This window comes from Homo sapiens, chromosome X (genome assembly GCF_000001405.40).
Source record: "Homo sapiens chromosome X, GRCh38.p14 Primary Assembly".
NCBI classification, from domain to species: Eukaryota; Metazoa; Chordata; class Mammalia; order Primates; family Hominidae; genus Homo; species Homo sapiens.
In genome coordinates, this window is record NC_000023.11 from 118494823 (window position 1) to 118511247 (window position 16425).

At 47.2% G+C, this 16425-nt stretch overlaps 1 protein-coding gene across 2 annotated transcripts in view, besides 6 other annotated features; it reads left to right on the plus strand.

The window, feature by feature from the left end:
• Positions 331-400: an enhancer, noted in NCBI's record as "active region_29872". NCBI's record gives its function as "activates an Ori minimal core promoter by ATAC-STARR-seq in GM12878 lymphoblastoid cells {active_cell/tissue: GM12878}" and the evidence as "EXISTENCE:reporter gene assay evidence [ECO:0000049][PMID:35858748]".
• Positions 803-1781: an enhancer, noted in NCBI's record as "H3K27ac-H3K4me1 hESC enhancer chrX:117629588-117630566 (GRCh37/hg19 assembly coordinates)". NCBI's record gives its function as "activates a minimal SCP1, AML or CMV promoter by ChIP-STARR-seq in naive H9 embryonic stem cells {active_cell/tissue: H9 hESC(naive)}" and the evidence as "EXISTENCE:reporter gene assay evidence [ECO:0000049][PMID:30033119]".
• Positions 811-950: a silencer, noted in NCBI's record as "silent region_20946". NCBI's record gives its function as "represses an Ori minimal core promoter by ATAC-STARR-seq in GM12878 lymphoblastoid cells {active_cell/tissue: GM12878}" and the evidence as "EXISTENCE:reporter gene assay evidence [ECO:0000049][PMID:35858748]".
• DOCK11 (dedicator of cytokinesis 11) overlaps positions 993-16425 on the plus strand; it is a 190333-nt gene continuing 174900 nt past the window's right edge. For both annotated transcript variants that reach the window (XM_005262368.5, NM_144658.4), the window contains exon 1: positions 993-1251. In XM_005262368.5, coding sequence (XP_005262425.1) covers positions 1150-1251 — 102 coding nt within the window. In that variant the 5' untranslated portion in view covers positions 993-1149. The remainder of the gene's footprint in view (positions 1252-16425) is intronic.
• Positions 1061-1140: a silencer, noted in NCBI's record as "silent region_20947". NCBI's record gives its function as "represses an Ori minimal core promoter by ATAC-STARR-seq in GM12878 lymphoblastoid cells {active_cell/tissue: GM12878}" and the evidence as "EXISTENCE:reporter gene assay evidence [ECO:0000049][PMID:35858748]".
• Positions 1231-1290: a silencer, noted in NCBI's record as "silent region_20948". NCBI's record gives its function as "represses an Ori minimal core promoter by ATAC-STARR-seq in GM12878 lymphoblastoid cells {active_cell/tissue: GM12878}" and the evidence as "EXISTENCE:reporter gene assay evidence [ECO:0000049][PMID:35858748]".
• Positions 1461-1520: a silencer, noted in NCBI's record as "silent region_20949". NCBI's record gives its function as "represses an Ori minimal core promoter by ATAC-STARR-seq in GM12878 lymphoblastoid cells {active_cell/tissue: GM12878}" and the evidence as "EXISTENCE:reporter gene assay evidence [ECO:0000049][PMID:35858748]".

The window sequence follows — 16425 nt, forward strand, 5'->3', positions numbered from 1 at the left end:
GGAGAGGTGAGTGCAGGGCACTTGTAAAAGCTACTATAAGATTGGTAAGTCCACCAAACCCAGGGAGATGGCCTTCCTAATGCCCACCCCCACCCCACTCCTGGTGCAGTCAGTGCTGACCTAGGGATCACCTGCCACAGGCTCATCCTAATGCCCACCCCCACCCCACTCCTGGTGCAGTCAGTGCTGACCTAGGGATCACCTGCCACAGGCTCAGGCTCCACCACCCAGCTCTCCCCCGTGGGGGACGGAGCGAGGGGTGCCGCCACAATAAGTTCCCACTTCCAGAAGCATGCTCTCTCCCCAGTGTTGCCCCCTGTTAGGTGAGCCAACTGAGTAGGAAAACGGTGTGGGCGAGGAGGGGGACCCAGTCGAGCCGCTCACGCTGGAAAGCAGCTCTCTGTCCTTCGACATTGGTGCGACCCTTCCCCAAGGAGCACACAAAAGGCGGCTGCTCCACGTTGTTTTCCAGCCCCTAGCCGCCTGGGCCCTGGGGGCTTGCGGGGTGGAGGGACGTGAGAGTTCTCCAGCCCTCCTGCGGGCACTGCAGCTCGGAGGCGGGAGAGGAGCACTAGGGCGGGAGAGGAGCACGCCCCACTCTTGGAGACATTTCATCACCCCTCTCTGTTCCCCCACCCCACCCCGCCCTCCCCACTCAAGCGGAAAAAAAGAAGCAGCCCAGATCTCCCCTCCCGGATGCGGCTGCACCAGCAACATCAGCTGCGGGCGGAGCCCGAGCGGTAGCCACTTCCCCCCTCTTCCCTCGTGACCCTCGCCCCCACCTCCAGTTCTCCCTCCCCCTCTACACACCCTTCCCCATCAGACACACCCTCCTGCTTCGGCTGGTGGCGATCGGAGCTCGGGCCCTCTAGGGGAGGGAGCTGCCGCCGCCGACGCCGTGGGGCAGGACAGTGAGCGGGCGAAGCGAGCGAGAAAAGGAGGGAAGGAGGGAACGAGGGAGGAGCAGCGGGTGGGAGGTGGGAGGGAGGAGCAGCGTGAGCCGCGCCGCCGCCGAGCTGCGATGTGGCCGGCCGGCCGGCGAGTAAACAGAGGGAGCAGCAGCGGCCGCGGCCGCCGCGGGCCGGGGCAGTGAGTCCACCCGCCCGCCGAGGTCCGCCCGCCCGCCGAGACCCGCCCGCCGCCGCTGCCATGGCCGAAGTGCGCAAATTCACCAAACGGCTCAGCAAGCCTGGCACGGCGGCTGAGCTCCGGCAGAGCGTGTCTGAGGCCGTGCGGGGCTCCGTGGTGCTGGTGAGTGGCCGGGGGACGGGGCATCCCGGGGGACGCGCTCCAGGCGGGAGCGACGCGGGAAGGGGCAGGAACGGCGCCAGTGCGGCCGCTTGGTGCGCCGCGCGCTGTCTTTCTCCGCTCCAGTAAGTTTTCGCACCGGCAGCCGCCGGCCGGGGTCCGAGTCCCAGGCGCCGGCTGACAGCTCTCCGGCCGCCCGGCACGGCGGAGGCGTGCGCCGGGATGGAAGCAGACGGGCAAAAGCCGGGCTCGGACGGCTGCGGAGGAGGCGGAGGCGGAGGCTCCCACCCAGGGTCGGGGCCGGGGGTGTGAGCTAAAGAGCTGACCTCGCGCTGCTCTGGACTCGGCACAAAGAGCCGGGGACAAGGGCACGACGAGATCCTGATCCCCTCCCGCGAGCACCTGAGGCCGCCTAGGCGGAAGGATGCGATGAGCGTTTGGCACACACACTCTCGCGCGCACACATACACACACTGTGTACACAAAAAAGAACCCCACCCAGAAAGCCCCGGGCGCCCAAGCTCGGGCTGGCGGTGAGAACAGAGGAAGCAGAGCGACTTCCTCCTGCAACTGGGGAGAGAGGGTGGTGATGGGTGTTGAAGGGGTGCTGCTGCGGAGGAAGGGCATTAGAAACAACGGGGTTCTGCGACAGAGTGGGCGCAGGGTCATCCACCGCAGGGAGAGTGTGTCCCTCGGGGACACGCGAGCGCTCCAGAGGCAAGGGGACCAAGGGGACGGTGCCGTGGGGATTTGGGGGAAGACTGGGTGTGTCAGTCCAGGGATGGAGGACCTGGGGTCAGAGCCCCACAGCTCAGGACTGGGGGATGGGGATTCGAAAGCGCGCTGACTCCCTGGGAACCCTCCCAGAGCACCCTCAGCCTTATCCAGATTGTCTGACTCTGGAGAAAGGCTAAAGGGTGCTAACGGGCACTTGCCCCTTCTCTTGTTTTCAAGACACTCGTTGCCAGTTTCCTGGACAAGCGAACAAACCCTGAATAAGCAATCGGACTGATTAATTAGTGTTTGTTTTGTTACTTTGTTTTTTGGTTGTTGTTTTTGTTTGTTTTTGTCTCCCTCAGCTCCATTTTACAGCGAGTCGTTTGCTGTGTTTAAATTTCACCGTTTAAGAGAGGGCTCTTTTTGTTAAAACAACTTGTCATCGGAAGGGAACTTCACAGCTTTTCCTTGTAATTTTTCTGTTGATCTTGTAGAATCAGCAATAAAACCCAGCATTAAAGGGAGGCCAGGGGCTTGATCCCAACAGTGGAGAAAGTTGACATTAGTGGGAGTTCTGGAGGAGGATCAAAGGTAAACTATGTACCTTTGAGATAAAGATCTGATCCCTAATAGCTACAACTGTGCAAACCTAAGTGACTTTAAAGAAATCTCTTTATTGTGGCTAGACCCTTGAAAGTTTAATTCTGCTGTTTAGTGGAGCTAAATCCAGACCTTTAATGTTACTTTAATGGACTTGGCTTGTGTATTTCAGTCTGATTTTGGAGTGAGGACCTGTTGAGGTCAGATTGGAGCCTTGCCTGTCATCACAGCCAGTTAAGAGAGGAAGGCAAGCTGTGTGCAGAGCATTTATACCAGGGCTCTCATCTTGGGTGATTGTTAACACGTGATTCAATCTACCTAGCAGAGAACGCTTTCCTAAATTCAGAGAAAACAAAAAACCTTCCTTGAGCGGGGTTGGCTGGCCTTCTACCACAACACGTGAAGAAAGCTGTAGGTGGCCAGATTTCTCGAGAATAAATGGGACTAAGAAAACTTCCACTGGGATTTGATCAGCACTTGACCTGCCACCCTAGCAGCAAAAAGTTAACATTAGCATTCTTTCCCCTGTTTTTAGGTTTTCAAAAGAATTTTGTGCATTGTAGGTTCAGCGGCTCCTTCCTGACCATTGATTCTATGGCGAAGGAGGAAAAACTGTTATTGGCAGGAGTCTTTTCTAGGAGACGCTGGCAGTGGCCATGGTTCCCTTGTCAGCCCAGCTTACTTGGGACCAAGGTCATTGATTTTTACCGTTTACACCAGGCAATGCAGAGGAATATTTACTCATTACTCTAGTATGTGAACCACATTGAGATTTTGGGAGTGAGGGAGAACAGATTCTAGTAATCTAAATCAATGAATATCTATTGAGCCCTTACAATGTGCCACACACAATGCTAGATGCTCTATAATTATGAGAATGCAAATGATCTTTTTCTTCATTTGTTTTCATTATTTACAATCTGGGTTGGTTGTGTGTATGGGAATGTCTTTGTCAATAGGACACCCAGATTATGCACACAAATCAAGTTTAGATTCTTCATAGAGCCTTAGCAAATGCTATTTGTAAGCAGTTTAGTCAACGAAAAAATAAGGAAATAGTTCTTACATGGAATGTATGCTCCTAAATGACTCTCTCTCACAAAGAGCTGTTAACCAAAGTTAGTAAAACCACGAGTGGCTGGAGAGTGAGGGGACCATGTTGCAGCTGCTGCCATAACTTCTGATTCTTTTAAGGGACAGCTGAGGTAGGATTTACACTTGTGCTATAAACCCAAGATACTCACATTGGGGCTTCAATATGAGTTAGAGCCATTACCGCAGCAAGTCAAGCTTTCCTCTGGTGTATCTCTTGTTAGAACATGGAAAACCCACCAAGCTGTACAAATATACAGTATTTCCTGTTTAGGTTTTTTTTTTATTTTTTTTTTAAGGATTTTGGAATTACACCCTTGTTGGCCTGTTGCTAACATCATTCAGTTTTCCTCACTGTTTGAAAAATTCAGATGGCTGGGCCTGGGCTATATATAGCATGTTGTTGCGTATTCAAACTGTTATTCAGTTATTAGTACTTCCACGAATCTATTAACTAACTACATAATAAAGCAGACAGAGAGACTGTTCCACTGTTACTGCATTTTCCTATAAGTTCAGCATTTTTATGAAGGTCAGTTTTAACCCAGGGAAAGGGATAATTACAGAATCATCATTGACAGATTTCTCAAGAGGGGATTGGGGAGAAACATTATAACCTGAGAGTGTATGTGATTAAGAGAGAAGTGTTTACATATGTACTTGTTTAAAATGCAGAGTTTTAAATTTTTAAATTGATTTTGTTGTAATTCAGGATGTAGCTACTGGTGCCGCAGGGGAACAAAGGCATTTTGCTAAACCTGTTGTATTATGGCCGCCCTTTAGAGAAGCCACTTTATCAGCCTGGAAGAGTCGCCTAGTAGCTGTTTAAATACTGTTTACTGCGGAGCTTACCCTCAATTCCTTGTGCGCCAAAAGATCGGGAAAGAGTTGCTAGATATTAGGGGTTGTAGCCCCTGGACGCGCCGTAATGCACGCAGCGTCCCCTGGCTGGCATCAGCCAGATTTCGTATAATAGCTCCAGTAGAGAAAAGCTCTCCAGAAGCTGAGAATGGCTGAAAAGCGTCTGCAGCTGTTGACTCCCCCAACCCGCCGCTCACAACTACCTTTGCATGGAATGTTTGTTATGTTTGCATTTAGAGAAGCGCTGAAACGGAACCACTCCTCTGCTCCCTCTTCCCAAGGGAATTTGTGTAAAGTAGGTAATATAGGACAAAACCCACAGCCTCATCTCTAAGGAGGTGAGAACAATACGGAATAAAAGCCAGTTTCAACTTGGGCTTCTTGACCAAGCATTTCCAGTTCAGAGGCTCTCAATGAACTGAGCTGTCAATGAACTGAGGGTCAGGAAAGTTAACCAGAGTGTTAGCACCTAAACATAAAATAGTCTCGCTACTGGAGGTTAGCAGGGCCCAGAGCAAGCCACTCCACCACGATCTGTACAAAAGACCGGTGCAGGTTGCTGTGAAGCCAGAGAGGCCTCCTTGCTGAACCCTTGTTTAAGCACCAAATAGGAAAATTTGTTTTCTGAGACTAACATGTTAAAAAATTCTCTGGATTGAGTCTTTTTCTATTCTAATCACCAGTGAACCTTTGTTTTTTAAGCTTTCATTGCTTTTTTTTTTTTTTTAGACGGAATCTCCCTCTGTCGCCCAGACTGGAGTGCGGTGGCGGGATCTCGGCTCACTGCAAGCTCCGCCTCCCGGGTTCACGTCATTCTCCCGCCTCAGCCTCCCGAGTAGCTGGGACTACAGGCGCCCGCCGCCACGCCCGGCTAATTTTTTGTATTTTTAGTAGAGACGGGGTTTCACCGTGTTAGCCAGGATGGTCTCGATCTCCTGACCTCGTGATCCGCCCGCCTCGGTCTCTCAAAGTGCTGGGATTACAGGCGTGAGCCACCGCGCCCGGCCTTCATTGCTTTATTACATGCCAAATGCTTGTTTATTGTACAACAGCTAGAAAAACAGAAAAGTAAGAATAATTATCACCATCTCATTACCCAGAGGAAGCTCCGTAAATATTTTAATGTAAATATTTACCTTTCTCTCTTTCTATGTGTATATATACACATCTATAAATACACATATATACTGTATATATAGATGTATACATATCTATACATACATATACATACCCACACACATATATGGATGGAAAGAAATATACACAAACTTTTTATTTTTGTTTATGTATTTTTTTTTTGAGACAAAGTCTTGCTCTTTACCCAGGTTGGAGTGCAGTGGTGTAATCATGGCTCACTGCAGCTTTGACCTTTGGGACTCAAGGGATCCTCCCACCTCAGCCTCCCAAGTAGCTGGGACTGCAGGCAAACGCCACCGTGCCCAGCTAAAGTTTTTTTTGTTTTTGTTTTGTTTTGTTTTTTTAGTAGAGACAGGGTTTCACAGTGTTTCCCCAGGCTGGTCTCAAACTCCTGAGCTCAAGCAGTCCTCCCACCTTGGCCTCTCAAAGTGCTGGGATTACAGGCATGAGCCACTTCGCCTGGCCACACAAACTTTTAAATAATTTTTTTCATTTATCAGTATCTTATGAATATTTTTTGATGTCAATAAATACAAATCTATATAATCATATTTAATGACTGCCTAAATTTTCATTATGGGTGTACCAGAGGTAATTATCATTTATTGTTTGATATTTTGATAGTTTTTCTAATTTTGTGCTGTTATAAACATGAACTATAAAGGTAAATAGCTATATATCTTTCTTTACTTTTAAATTTAAATTAATTAAAAATAATCATATCCAGGCATGGTGGCTCACACCTGTAATCCCAGCACTTTGGGAGGCTGAGGCAGGCATATCACCTGAGGACAGGAGTTTGAGACCAGCCTGGCCAACATGGCAAAACCCCGTCTCTACTTAAAAAAAAATACAAAAATTAGCTGAGTGTCATGGCGCATGCCTGTAGTCCCAGGTACTCGGGAGGCTGAGGCAGGAGAATCGCTTGAACCCAGGAGGTGGAGGTTGCAGTGATCTGAGATCCCACCACTGCACTCCAGCCTAGGCGACACAGCGATACTCCGACTCAAAAAAAGTAATAATAATAATCAGTTTCTAAATTTCACTTGCCACAGTTCAAGTGCTCAATAGCCACATGTGGCTAGTGGCTACTATATTGGACTGCATATACTATATATGCAGATAAAGAGCATTACCATCAGTAACTGAGTGAATGTCTTTGAGAAGGCATCTTCAAAATTGCCAAATCGTCCCCTTAGGATAAATTTCTAGCAGTGAACTTGCTTGCTCAAAGATTACACTGTATGCATTTTTAGTATTAAAAATTCCTCTTAAACATACTGTTAAATTGCTCTACAGAAAGTAGCTTCAGTTTACTCTTTCACCAGGAGAGTGTGAGGGTGTTCATTTCCCCTCTCCCATGCCAACGCTTGTTAGTAATATTTTAAAAATTTTTTGCAGTTTGATAGGAAATAAATGGTACATCACCGTTCTAATTTGCATTTCTTTGATTACTCTTAAAGTTGAACAGTTTTTCATGTTGATTGGCCTTTCATAGTTCTTCTGTTGAGGCTTGAATGAATCTGCTTACAGACTTATTTCCTCGTTTGTGATTCTTGCAATACAGTCTCCATCCCCCAAGATTCTGTTTTGCTAAGTCTGGGGTGGGGCCTGCATCTGTATTCTTTAAAAGGACCCCAGATGATTCTCATGTGCACAGAAACACTCATCTAGACCGCTTGTCCACTCAAGGCAGGAATGTCCTTTCCACCCAGCCCTGACAAATGATTATTTAGCTTCTCCTTAAACACCCCTGCCTGTTAGAGGGCTATGTTAGAAAAGGTTCTTGAGCCGAAATTTACTGTGTAAATTTCACCATGGGCTAGACCTAGCTCTGCTGTTGGAGCCACACGTTTGCTTCCTTCCTCTTTTGCATAACAACCTCTCAAATATTTAGAGACAGCCACCATGTCATTTTAAAATTCACTCTTCACAAAGCCAAAGAGGCTACATTTCTTTCCTTCGTTCCCCACATGACTTGGTTTCAAGATTCTTCATATCATTATCATCCTGTTTGGGCTCTTTTCCAAGTTTTCTATGTCCTACTTAAGATGTGAGAGACAGAGCATAAGCTAGAGGATCAGATCTGGTCTTGAACCCAACGTCTGTCACTTGCCTGAATTGTGAACAGACGCAAGTAACCTGGTCTCATTTTCCTTATCTGTGAAATGGGAATAAATAGTAGTACCTCCCTTGTGGAGTTCTTGGGAATAACGAAGGTAACATATGGAAAGTTTCTAATGTATAAGTGATTCATAAAGGTTAAAAAAAGAGATCTGGCCAAAACAAAACAAACAAACAAACAAACAAACAAAAAAACAGTATTCCAGAAGGATCTGCCACTGAATACAGTCAGGGAGGGGGCAATGTTTTGTATCATTTCTGGGTGTGAGCCGAGAAGCCGGGGGCTGTGTATTCATTTTTATTCCCAGCCCAGCCCCTCACACAGTGTCTGGAGTGCAGTAGATTCTTAGGTGTTTTGTGAAAATACACTGCCAACCTTGGGTAGGATGGACTCATTGTTGGGAGAAGAGCCTGGAGGCCAGGAAATGACTTAAAATACAGTTAATATAGTTCTGGAGAGAGATAACAAAGGCTTTTTTTTTTTTTTTTGAAATGGAGTTTCACTCTTGTCGCCCAGGCACGATCTTGGCTCACTGCAACCTCTGCCTCCCGGGTTCAAGCGATTCTCCTGCCTCGGGCTCCTGAGTAGCTGGGATTACAGATGCGTGCCACCACGCCCCATATAATTTTTGTATTTTTAGTAGAGATGGGGTTTCACCACGTTGGCCAGGCTGATCTCGAACTCCTGACCTCAGGTGATCCACCCACCTCTGCCTCCCAAAGTGCTGGGATTACAGGCCTGAGCCACTGCACCAGGCGAACAAAGGCTTTTAACTGAGGCAATGAGAATGGAGATAAGGGAGAAGACATAAGAAACATTGTGCTGAGAAAATCAACAGGATTTGGTGATTCTTAAAAGGGAAGGAGAAGGGGGAGGAAGAAAGAGAGGAAGAGCGGAGGTGGAGTCAAGATAATTTTGAGGTTTCTCAGCTTGTGTGAACTGAAGGAAAAGCAAGTTTGTTGATAGGGGAAGGGAAAAGAAAATGAGCAACTTCTGTTTGAGGGAGTTGTCAGGGCAAAGCCAGGTTTCAGTTAAGCAAGATGGTGGCTGAGCATATAAGGTTGTCTTTTGGCAAAGGACTAGGGTTCTCGAGGGCAGAGGTGGAAAGTGTTCCAAGTGGGTTCAGGAAGAAGAAGAGCCAGGAAAAGGCCAGGGCTGAGTGGACAGAGATGAAATTGTAGGCGAGATTAGCTGATTGAAGAGGTTTGCACCTTTGGGGGTGATTAGGGAAGTGGGAGGCAGGGTGTGGGGAAACGATCTGGAGGCCAGCCCCAGACTTCCAGTTAGAATGGGGTGGGGATGGGAAGTGAGTCCACCCCTTGGGCAGATCCCACTCTGGGGTGGGTCTGAGCAGCAGTTGCCCTGAGGAGCAGGGGGTCAGTGAGGGGTTGACTTCCTGCTCAGGTGCTCAGGAAGAGGCTAATAGGATAGTTCCTGCTTTTAAGGGAGACTAGAAGTACGCAAATAACCTACAGAAGATAGAAGCCAGATAGGAGTCCAGTGGTCATTGGTTTCCCAGTCTTCACCCCATCTCCGACCCCCACCCCAGCCCCCAGTGCTCTCTCTTAAGATCCTTAACGTTTTTCAAGACTTTCGTCCTTTCTGGGTTCGACAAGGTTAAATAGGCCTTTACTAATGAACATTGTTCTGTTTATGGCATTTCCCACATTTATTTGACCACAGACCCTGCCCCACCCCCAACCGGCTTTTTATGGAAAGTGGAGAGTAAATGGTAACATCTAACAGGCTGAGAAATTCCTATATAGTGTGCGTGTGTAACTAACTCATCTTGGCGTTCTCTTACTTGACCTCTGTGGATTGCAAGCAGTGGTTGCTACTTTCCCATGCTCCACGTCAAGAACCACCCTTGCTGTTCAGTTCAGAGGAGTAATTCACCTGTCTGATTGTGCTTTCTCCTGAGCTATAGAATTGTCAGCAAGTCATGTTGAAAGACGATTAGTTTTTAAAAATAATTTGTTTATCATGGAAGGGGAGGCCAAAACTACATGAGGGTACAGCTCGAGCCATTTCTTCTGTAAATCCTAAGGGTACTTAGAATACGTTTCTCTTTGAGATTTACCCCTCTTGGTTTAATTTTTATCAGGCATGCAGAGGAGTTGGTGGGTAACATTGGCCTGCCGTTTATATCAGCCTACAGCCAGATGCCTTTTTGATTCCTTGCAGGACCCCACCCTGGACGCTCCCAGAGCAGTAGCTTGAATGGAGCAAAGAGACAGTCTCAGTTAGCTGCCATTGCCTTTGTAAGCTTGTGCTTCAGAGCAAAGTGGTTAAGAGCTTGGGCTCTGGAAGCATGCTGCCCAGGTTCAGAGTTCAGCCCTAGATGACCTTGGGCCAATTATTTAACCTTCCTGGGCATTGGTAACCCCCTCAGGGGCTTGTTGAAAGGCTTAAATGAGTTATTTGTTTTGTTTTGTTTTTGAGACGGGGTCTCGCTCTGTCACCCAGGCTGGAGTGCAGTGACACGAACTTGGTTCACTGTAACCTCCGCCTCCTGGGTTCAAGTGATCCTTCCATCTCAGCCTCCCTAGTAGCTGGGACTACAGGTGTGCACCACCATTGCCCGGCTAAGTTTTGTGTTTTTAGTATAGAGACAGGGTTTTGCCATGTTGGCCAGGCTGGTCTCGAACTCCTGACCTCAAATGATCCGCCTGCCTCGGCCTCCCAAAGTGCTGGGATTACAGGCGTGAGACACCATGCCCAGCCTTGAGTGAGTTATTATATTCTTAATGTATAATATTGAAAGCACTTCAAGTGGGGTTTGCCAATTGTTAAGTACTGATGACTGTTGGCTCGCATTATCATCCCCAGGCTTTATGGTGGGCAAGAGACGTCTTTTGTATATGTGTTACAAGTCAGCAGACAGAAAAGTTAACTGGAAGAGGGGAAGCAGGTACCCTTGCTTTAATTCCTTGCTCCAGATGATGCCCCAAAGGGGTGAGCCACATGGCTGATCCAAGAATCTTACCCTTCCTGGAAGAACAAGCTGGCAGACCCCTCTGCATGAGGTTCTTGCCAATACCCGTTCCCAGTCTGACTTAGTCATACTGAAAAGCCTAGTGGATGGTAGCAAGGGTTCTGGGTTTTTGGCATTTTCTACCTTCACACGAGTTTAATGAGTGAGTGGGAAGGCTGGTCCTCAAGTGGGGAGAAGCACTCTGTCCTGTGCCTTGGGCCGGAAGGCTCTCCAGACTGGGGAAACTGTACCTGTGGCCTTTGGCAGAAGCACTTACCTTTATGCCAGCCTGTTCAGTGTGATTTATGCAAAGGGGTGAATAGAAGAGAATTGGGATCTGTGTGGAAAAACAGAGCTTGGACATGCCTACCTTTCCCTTTCAAACCTTCACTGATGCCAGGCACGTTAGCCTATGCCTATAATCCCAGCCCTTTGGGAGGCTGAGCTGGGAGGATTGCTTGAGCCTGGGAGTTCCAGGCCAGCCTGGGAGATACAGGGAGACCCCCATCTTTACAAAATTAAAACAAAAATGAGCCAGGCGTGGTGGCACATGCGTGTAGTCCAGCTACTTGAGAGACTGAAGTGGGAGGATTCCTTGAGCCCAGGAGTTCGAGGCTGCAGTGAGCCTTGATTGTGCCACTGCACTCCAGCTTGGGTGACAGACTGAGACCCTGTCTCAAAAAAAAAAAAAACAACAAAAAACCAAAACCAAAAAACCTTTATTGTTATCCCTTTCACTCTTAATCCTCACATTTAATAGTCAAATAAATATTGAAATGCAAATGCTTTTTTAAAGTTCTATTTTGGGGCTGAGCGCGGTGGCTCACACCTATATTCCCAGCACTTTGAGAGGCCGAGGTGGGTGGATCACTTGAGGTCAGGAGTTTGAGATCAGCCTGGCCAACATGGTAAAACCCTGTCTCTACCAAAAATACAAAAATTAGCTGGGCATGGTGGTGCACGCCTGTAATCCCAGCTACTTGGGAGGCTGAGGCATGAGAATCACTTGAACCCGGGAGGCAGAGGTTGCAGTGAGCTGAGATCACGCCACTGCACCCCAGCCTGGGCGACAAAGTGAGACTGTCTCAAAAAAAAAATTATATTTTGGAAACATACGTTTTAATAGGAAATTTTAAAACTTAAAGCTGTCTCGAGAAATTATTCTTTTATATTTGGCTATTCTGGTTTTGTGGTAGCAGGATAAGTTCTGTTAAGGATAGTGTGTGGCTGGGCATGATGGCTAGTGCCTAAAATGCCAGCACTTTGGCAGGCTGAGGTAGGAGGATTGTTTGAGGCCAGGAGTTCAAGACCAGCCTGGGCAACATAGCGAGACCCCCGTCTTTCCAAAAAAATAAAAAGAATAGTGCACACAGGTTCCTAGCAGAGTCAGTACAGTGGAAAACATGCCGAGTGTTCCAGCTCTACGTGGTTCATCTTTTGTCTGTGTGCAGCCTTGCACAATCATGCCTAAATTTGCTATTAATGATTTCCTGCGATTCTTCTCCACTTTTATTGCCTATTGAGTTTATTGTTCATGGGAAGTTATGTGCTTTTGCCGTTTTTGACTTCTGTTGGATTGTGTATATGTTTCAAGCTGCTAAGAAATGTTAGAAGATATTCTGATACTTCAGCGTTCCCATCGCATTGCTTTCCCTAATGACTGGAAATATTTTACTGGGTAAGATTTAACTGAGAAGTCAAGTGTTGCTTCCAAGTCTCTGAGACAGAACATCTTTATTTGAAGTGTTTCAGTGAAGTGTGTCAGAAGGCTGGGGAATTCATTTGTATAAGATTTTTTTTTTTTTTCCGGAGACAGAGTCTTGCTCTGTCACCCAGGCTGGAGTGCAGTGGCAACCTCCGCCTCCTGTGTTCAAGCGATTCTCCTGCCTCAGCCTCCCAAGTAGCTGGGATTACAGGCATCTGCCACCACGCCTGGCTAATTTTTGTGTTTTTAGTAGAGACGGGGTTTCACCATGTTGGCCATGCTGGTTTTGAACTCCTGACCTCAGGTGATCCATCCGCCTGGGCCTCCCAAGGTGCTGGAATTACAGGCATGAGCCACCGTGCCCGGCCCGTTTTTTAAATGGTGACAAGACCTTGAGTTTTTATAGCCGAAATCTTAAGACTTAAAAATGCTGTTATATCTATCTGTGGCCTCATATGTCTACAGGTCACTACTGAACACATATCACATAGTCATCACCCCTCTTCTGTAAGTGGGGAAACAGAGGCATGGTTTTCAGTGAGGCAGGCCATAGGTTATTTATATTAATGAAATGACAGAGCAGGTAATGAACTCCAGGTGTCCTGATTCCTTTGGAGTAACCATGTGAAGAAATACTAGAGGGATGCCAGATTCCACAGTCAATCAGGTGGAGAAAGCTCTTTCTGTGTGGTTTTGGTGATGATCTCGCTCTATTGGGAAACAGTGTTTATTTCTAAACAAGCTTAGGTCTCTTTAGTGGGAAAGTAGGAGGTGAGGACAAAAAAAAAAAAAAGAGGGATGGGGTTGTTATTGAGAAATGTGGGCAAGATCAGTATAGATTTTTGCTTGCCAAAGTAAGCCTAAGGATATTGAGAACTGTTTGCAATTGGCCATCCCTCCTTACTTTGCTATTTGAATAACTATATGGAAAAAAATATCCAGAACACTGGCTCTGCAGAGGTACCTGGGATCATTTTCATGGAACTGTTTTCATGATTTTTTTCAAGTGGGTTAGTGCTGTCCAAAAATAACAACATATATATTTCTTTCCATGCCTTTTATATTAGTAGTTTAGTTTTCCCACTTGAGAAACTGCCAGCTTTATGCCTTGCAGGGCCTGTTGTCACAGTGTTCACGGTGTGAATGGAAGAGTGCTGTTGGCATGGCCAGTTTACTTTCATAGGTGAACACGTTCCTAATGCTTCAGTACATTAAATCGTTTCCTAGAGATCTGAAGGAGGGAATGCTACCTTCCAAGGTACCTACCTTCCCACCAAGAAATAACTTAAGTTCAAGAAGGTTCTAAATCAACCGGTACATACATGGAACTGAATCGTTATTTCAAAGCTCACAGGGGCCAATAGCTCTCGTTGTGTCCAGCCGAGTGTTTACGACATGCTCTATAGTTTGTGGAGCAAAGAAAGCCCTCCCTTGCTAACTTGACCCTGGGGAGACTTGCTCCTCTACTCCTAGTGACCGACATGACCACTTGCAAGGGAACTTGGCCTCCGTCTGTCCCTGCTAAATGGTCTGGCAGAATTCTCATCAGGAGAGCCAGAAGAAAATTCCATAAGGCTTCTCGCTTCAGTTCTGTAATAACAAACCCAGCTCCCTCTCCCTGCCTGCCCTGCTTCCTTTGCTCAGTACTGCCCCTAGGCTCAGAGACATCAGGGAGTCTCATATTCAGAGCCCAGGTTCTTCAAGTCCATAGGCTGCTGGTTCTGCCCTGCCTTTAAAATCCATTTCCAGTCAACTGGATTTGGATCTTCTTGTCCCCTTGTGTCTTTGTCTCACTCACTGTATCTCTGTCTGGCCCCCTAGCCTGTCCATAGCTAACCCCCTGCCTCAGTTTTCTGGCTAATCGCCCAGTTCCTCTAGGAGTAAGTTCTTGCCTTGTTGCTGGCCTTCCTGAGGAGGGGTGCCTTACCCTCACCAGGACCATATGACTGAGCCCAGCACAGTGGAACTGTGGATTGAAGGGGTGAGTTTCTCTCTTTTTTTTTTTCTGGAAACAGAGTCTTCCCAGGCTGGGGTGCAGTGGTGCAATCTCGGCTCACTGAAACCTCTGCTTCCCGTGTTCAAGTGATTCTCCTGCCTCAGCCTCCTGAGTAGCTGGGACTACAGGTGTACACCACCACTCCTGGCTAATTTTTTGTATGTTTAGTAGAGACGGGGTTTTACCATGTTGGTCAGGCTGGTCTCGAACTCCTGACCTCAAGTGTTCCAACTGCCTCGGCCTCCCAAAGTGCTCGGATTATAGGCGTGAGCCACTGCACCTGGCCTGGAGGGGTGAGTTTCTGCTTAGAGAACTCAGAGGAGACAAAGTGCCTGGGATAACGCAGTCCAGCAAGTGGCCCTGTTGAGGACTGGACTAGCTTTATGGTCTATTAGTTTCCTATTGCCACTGTAATGAATTGCCACAAACTTAGTGTCTTAACACAGATGTGTTCCAGTTCTAGAGATCAGAAGGCCAAAATTGGTTTCACTGAGCTAAAGCCAAGGTGTCCAAAAAGCCTCACTTCCTCCAGAAGCTGTAGGGGAGGATCCATTGCCTGGTCTCTTCCAGCTTCTAGAGGATGCCCACATTCCTTGGCTCATGGCCCCTTCCTCCCTCCTCAAACCAGCAATGACTGGTCGAGTCTTTCTCACATCCTATCAGTCTCACACTGCTTCTGTCATTATATCTCCTTCTCTGACACCGGCTCTCTTGCCTCCCTCTTTCACTTATAAGGACCTTGGTTCCACCTTGGTAATCTAGGATAATTGCCCCATCTCCAAATCCTTAATTTAATCATGCCTGCAAAGTCTTCTTTGCCATGTAAAGTAACATATTCACAGGTTCCACGGATTAAGATGTGGCCATCATTGAGGAACCATTATTCTGCCTATCACGCAAGATGTCACCCAAGTTTGAGGACTGATGGAATCCTGGGGTCAGAGGGGTTCCCAGCACAGGTCCTGACATTACAGTGGAGGAGGAACAGGGATCTGGCAAACAGCCAGGCGCAGAAGTCTTCATAGAATTCAAATGAGGAAGCACAATCCCTTTTGCGAATTTTGGCTGAAAGAAAGCAATACAGGTCTGCAGTCTGCAATTTCAATTGACATGTTTTCTTAAATTCTTCATAACTAAATGTCTTTCCCCACACAGGACTCCCTGAGCCTGGAGTTCTTATAGCGGGCACTGCTTTCAGACTTGAGGTGTTTTAGGATACAAGCTGGGCAGACACTTTGCGGGCATTTAGCCAGCTCAGGCCTATAGAATTTTCCACCTTCAGTTAAAGAAAAGAGCAAAGAGGTAGGGGTGTGTGTGGGTGTGTGGATGTATGTGTGTGGCGGGGGGTCAGCGGGGAGGTGTTTAAAAGAGAAAGCGATGGTTGCACATCACATAAAATAACTATTTGGCCACAAGTCCCAAGATACCTCTCATATGTCCTGTGTAAGAGATGCTTTGCCCAGCCTGAAGGTCAAGTTAGACTGGGCATGGTCCTTCTGCATTTTCAAGGTAATCACAGAATCCCTTCCCAGAAATGGCTTTCTAAAACACATGATTGGAGAAGCAGAAGGAAGGACTGGAAAATCTATCTGAGTTCTTTCTGGCTTCATGATGATTTCAATTAAAAGATAAATGGAAACTTCCCCTCTCTACCACATCTAGTCACTGCCATCTTAGAGACACATAGAACAAAAGTTTCCTGGCTGATAACATTTGCATCAGCCCTCCTCACACTGGCCAGTATGATGTCCATGATGTGTCTGATGGCACAGAGCTTTGCTGTCCTGAAGAAGCACTCTATCGTAGATGTGGATTGCATTTCCTATTTTTACCTTGGTTCTAATTGGCCACGGCCATATTTCTCCCAGGCCCAGCATATCTTTTTTCAAGCCTCTGGCTAATTGACCTGGCTGTAATGCACTGAAAATCATTATAGAAAAGGTTGGGGAAACTCCCAGATTGTGTTTGAA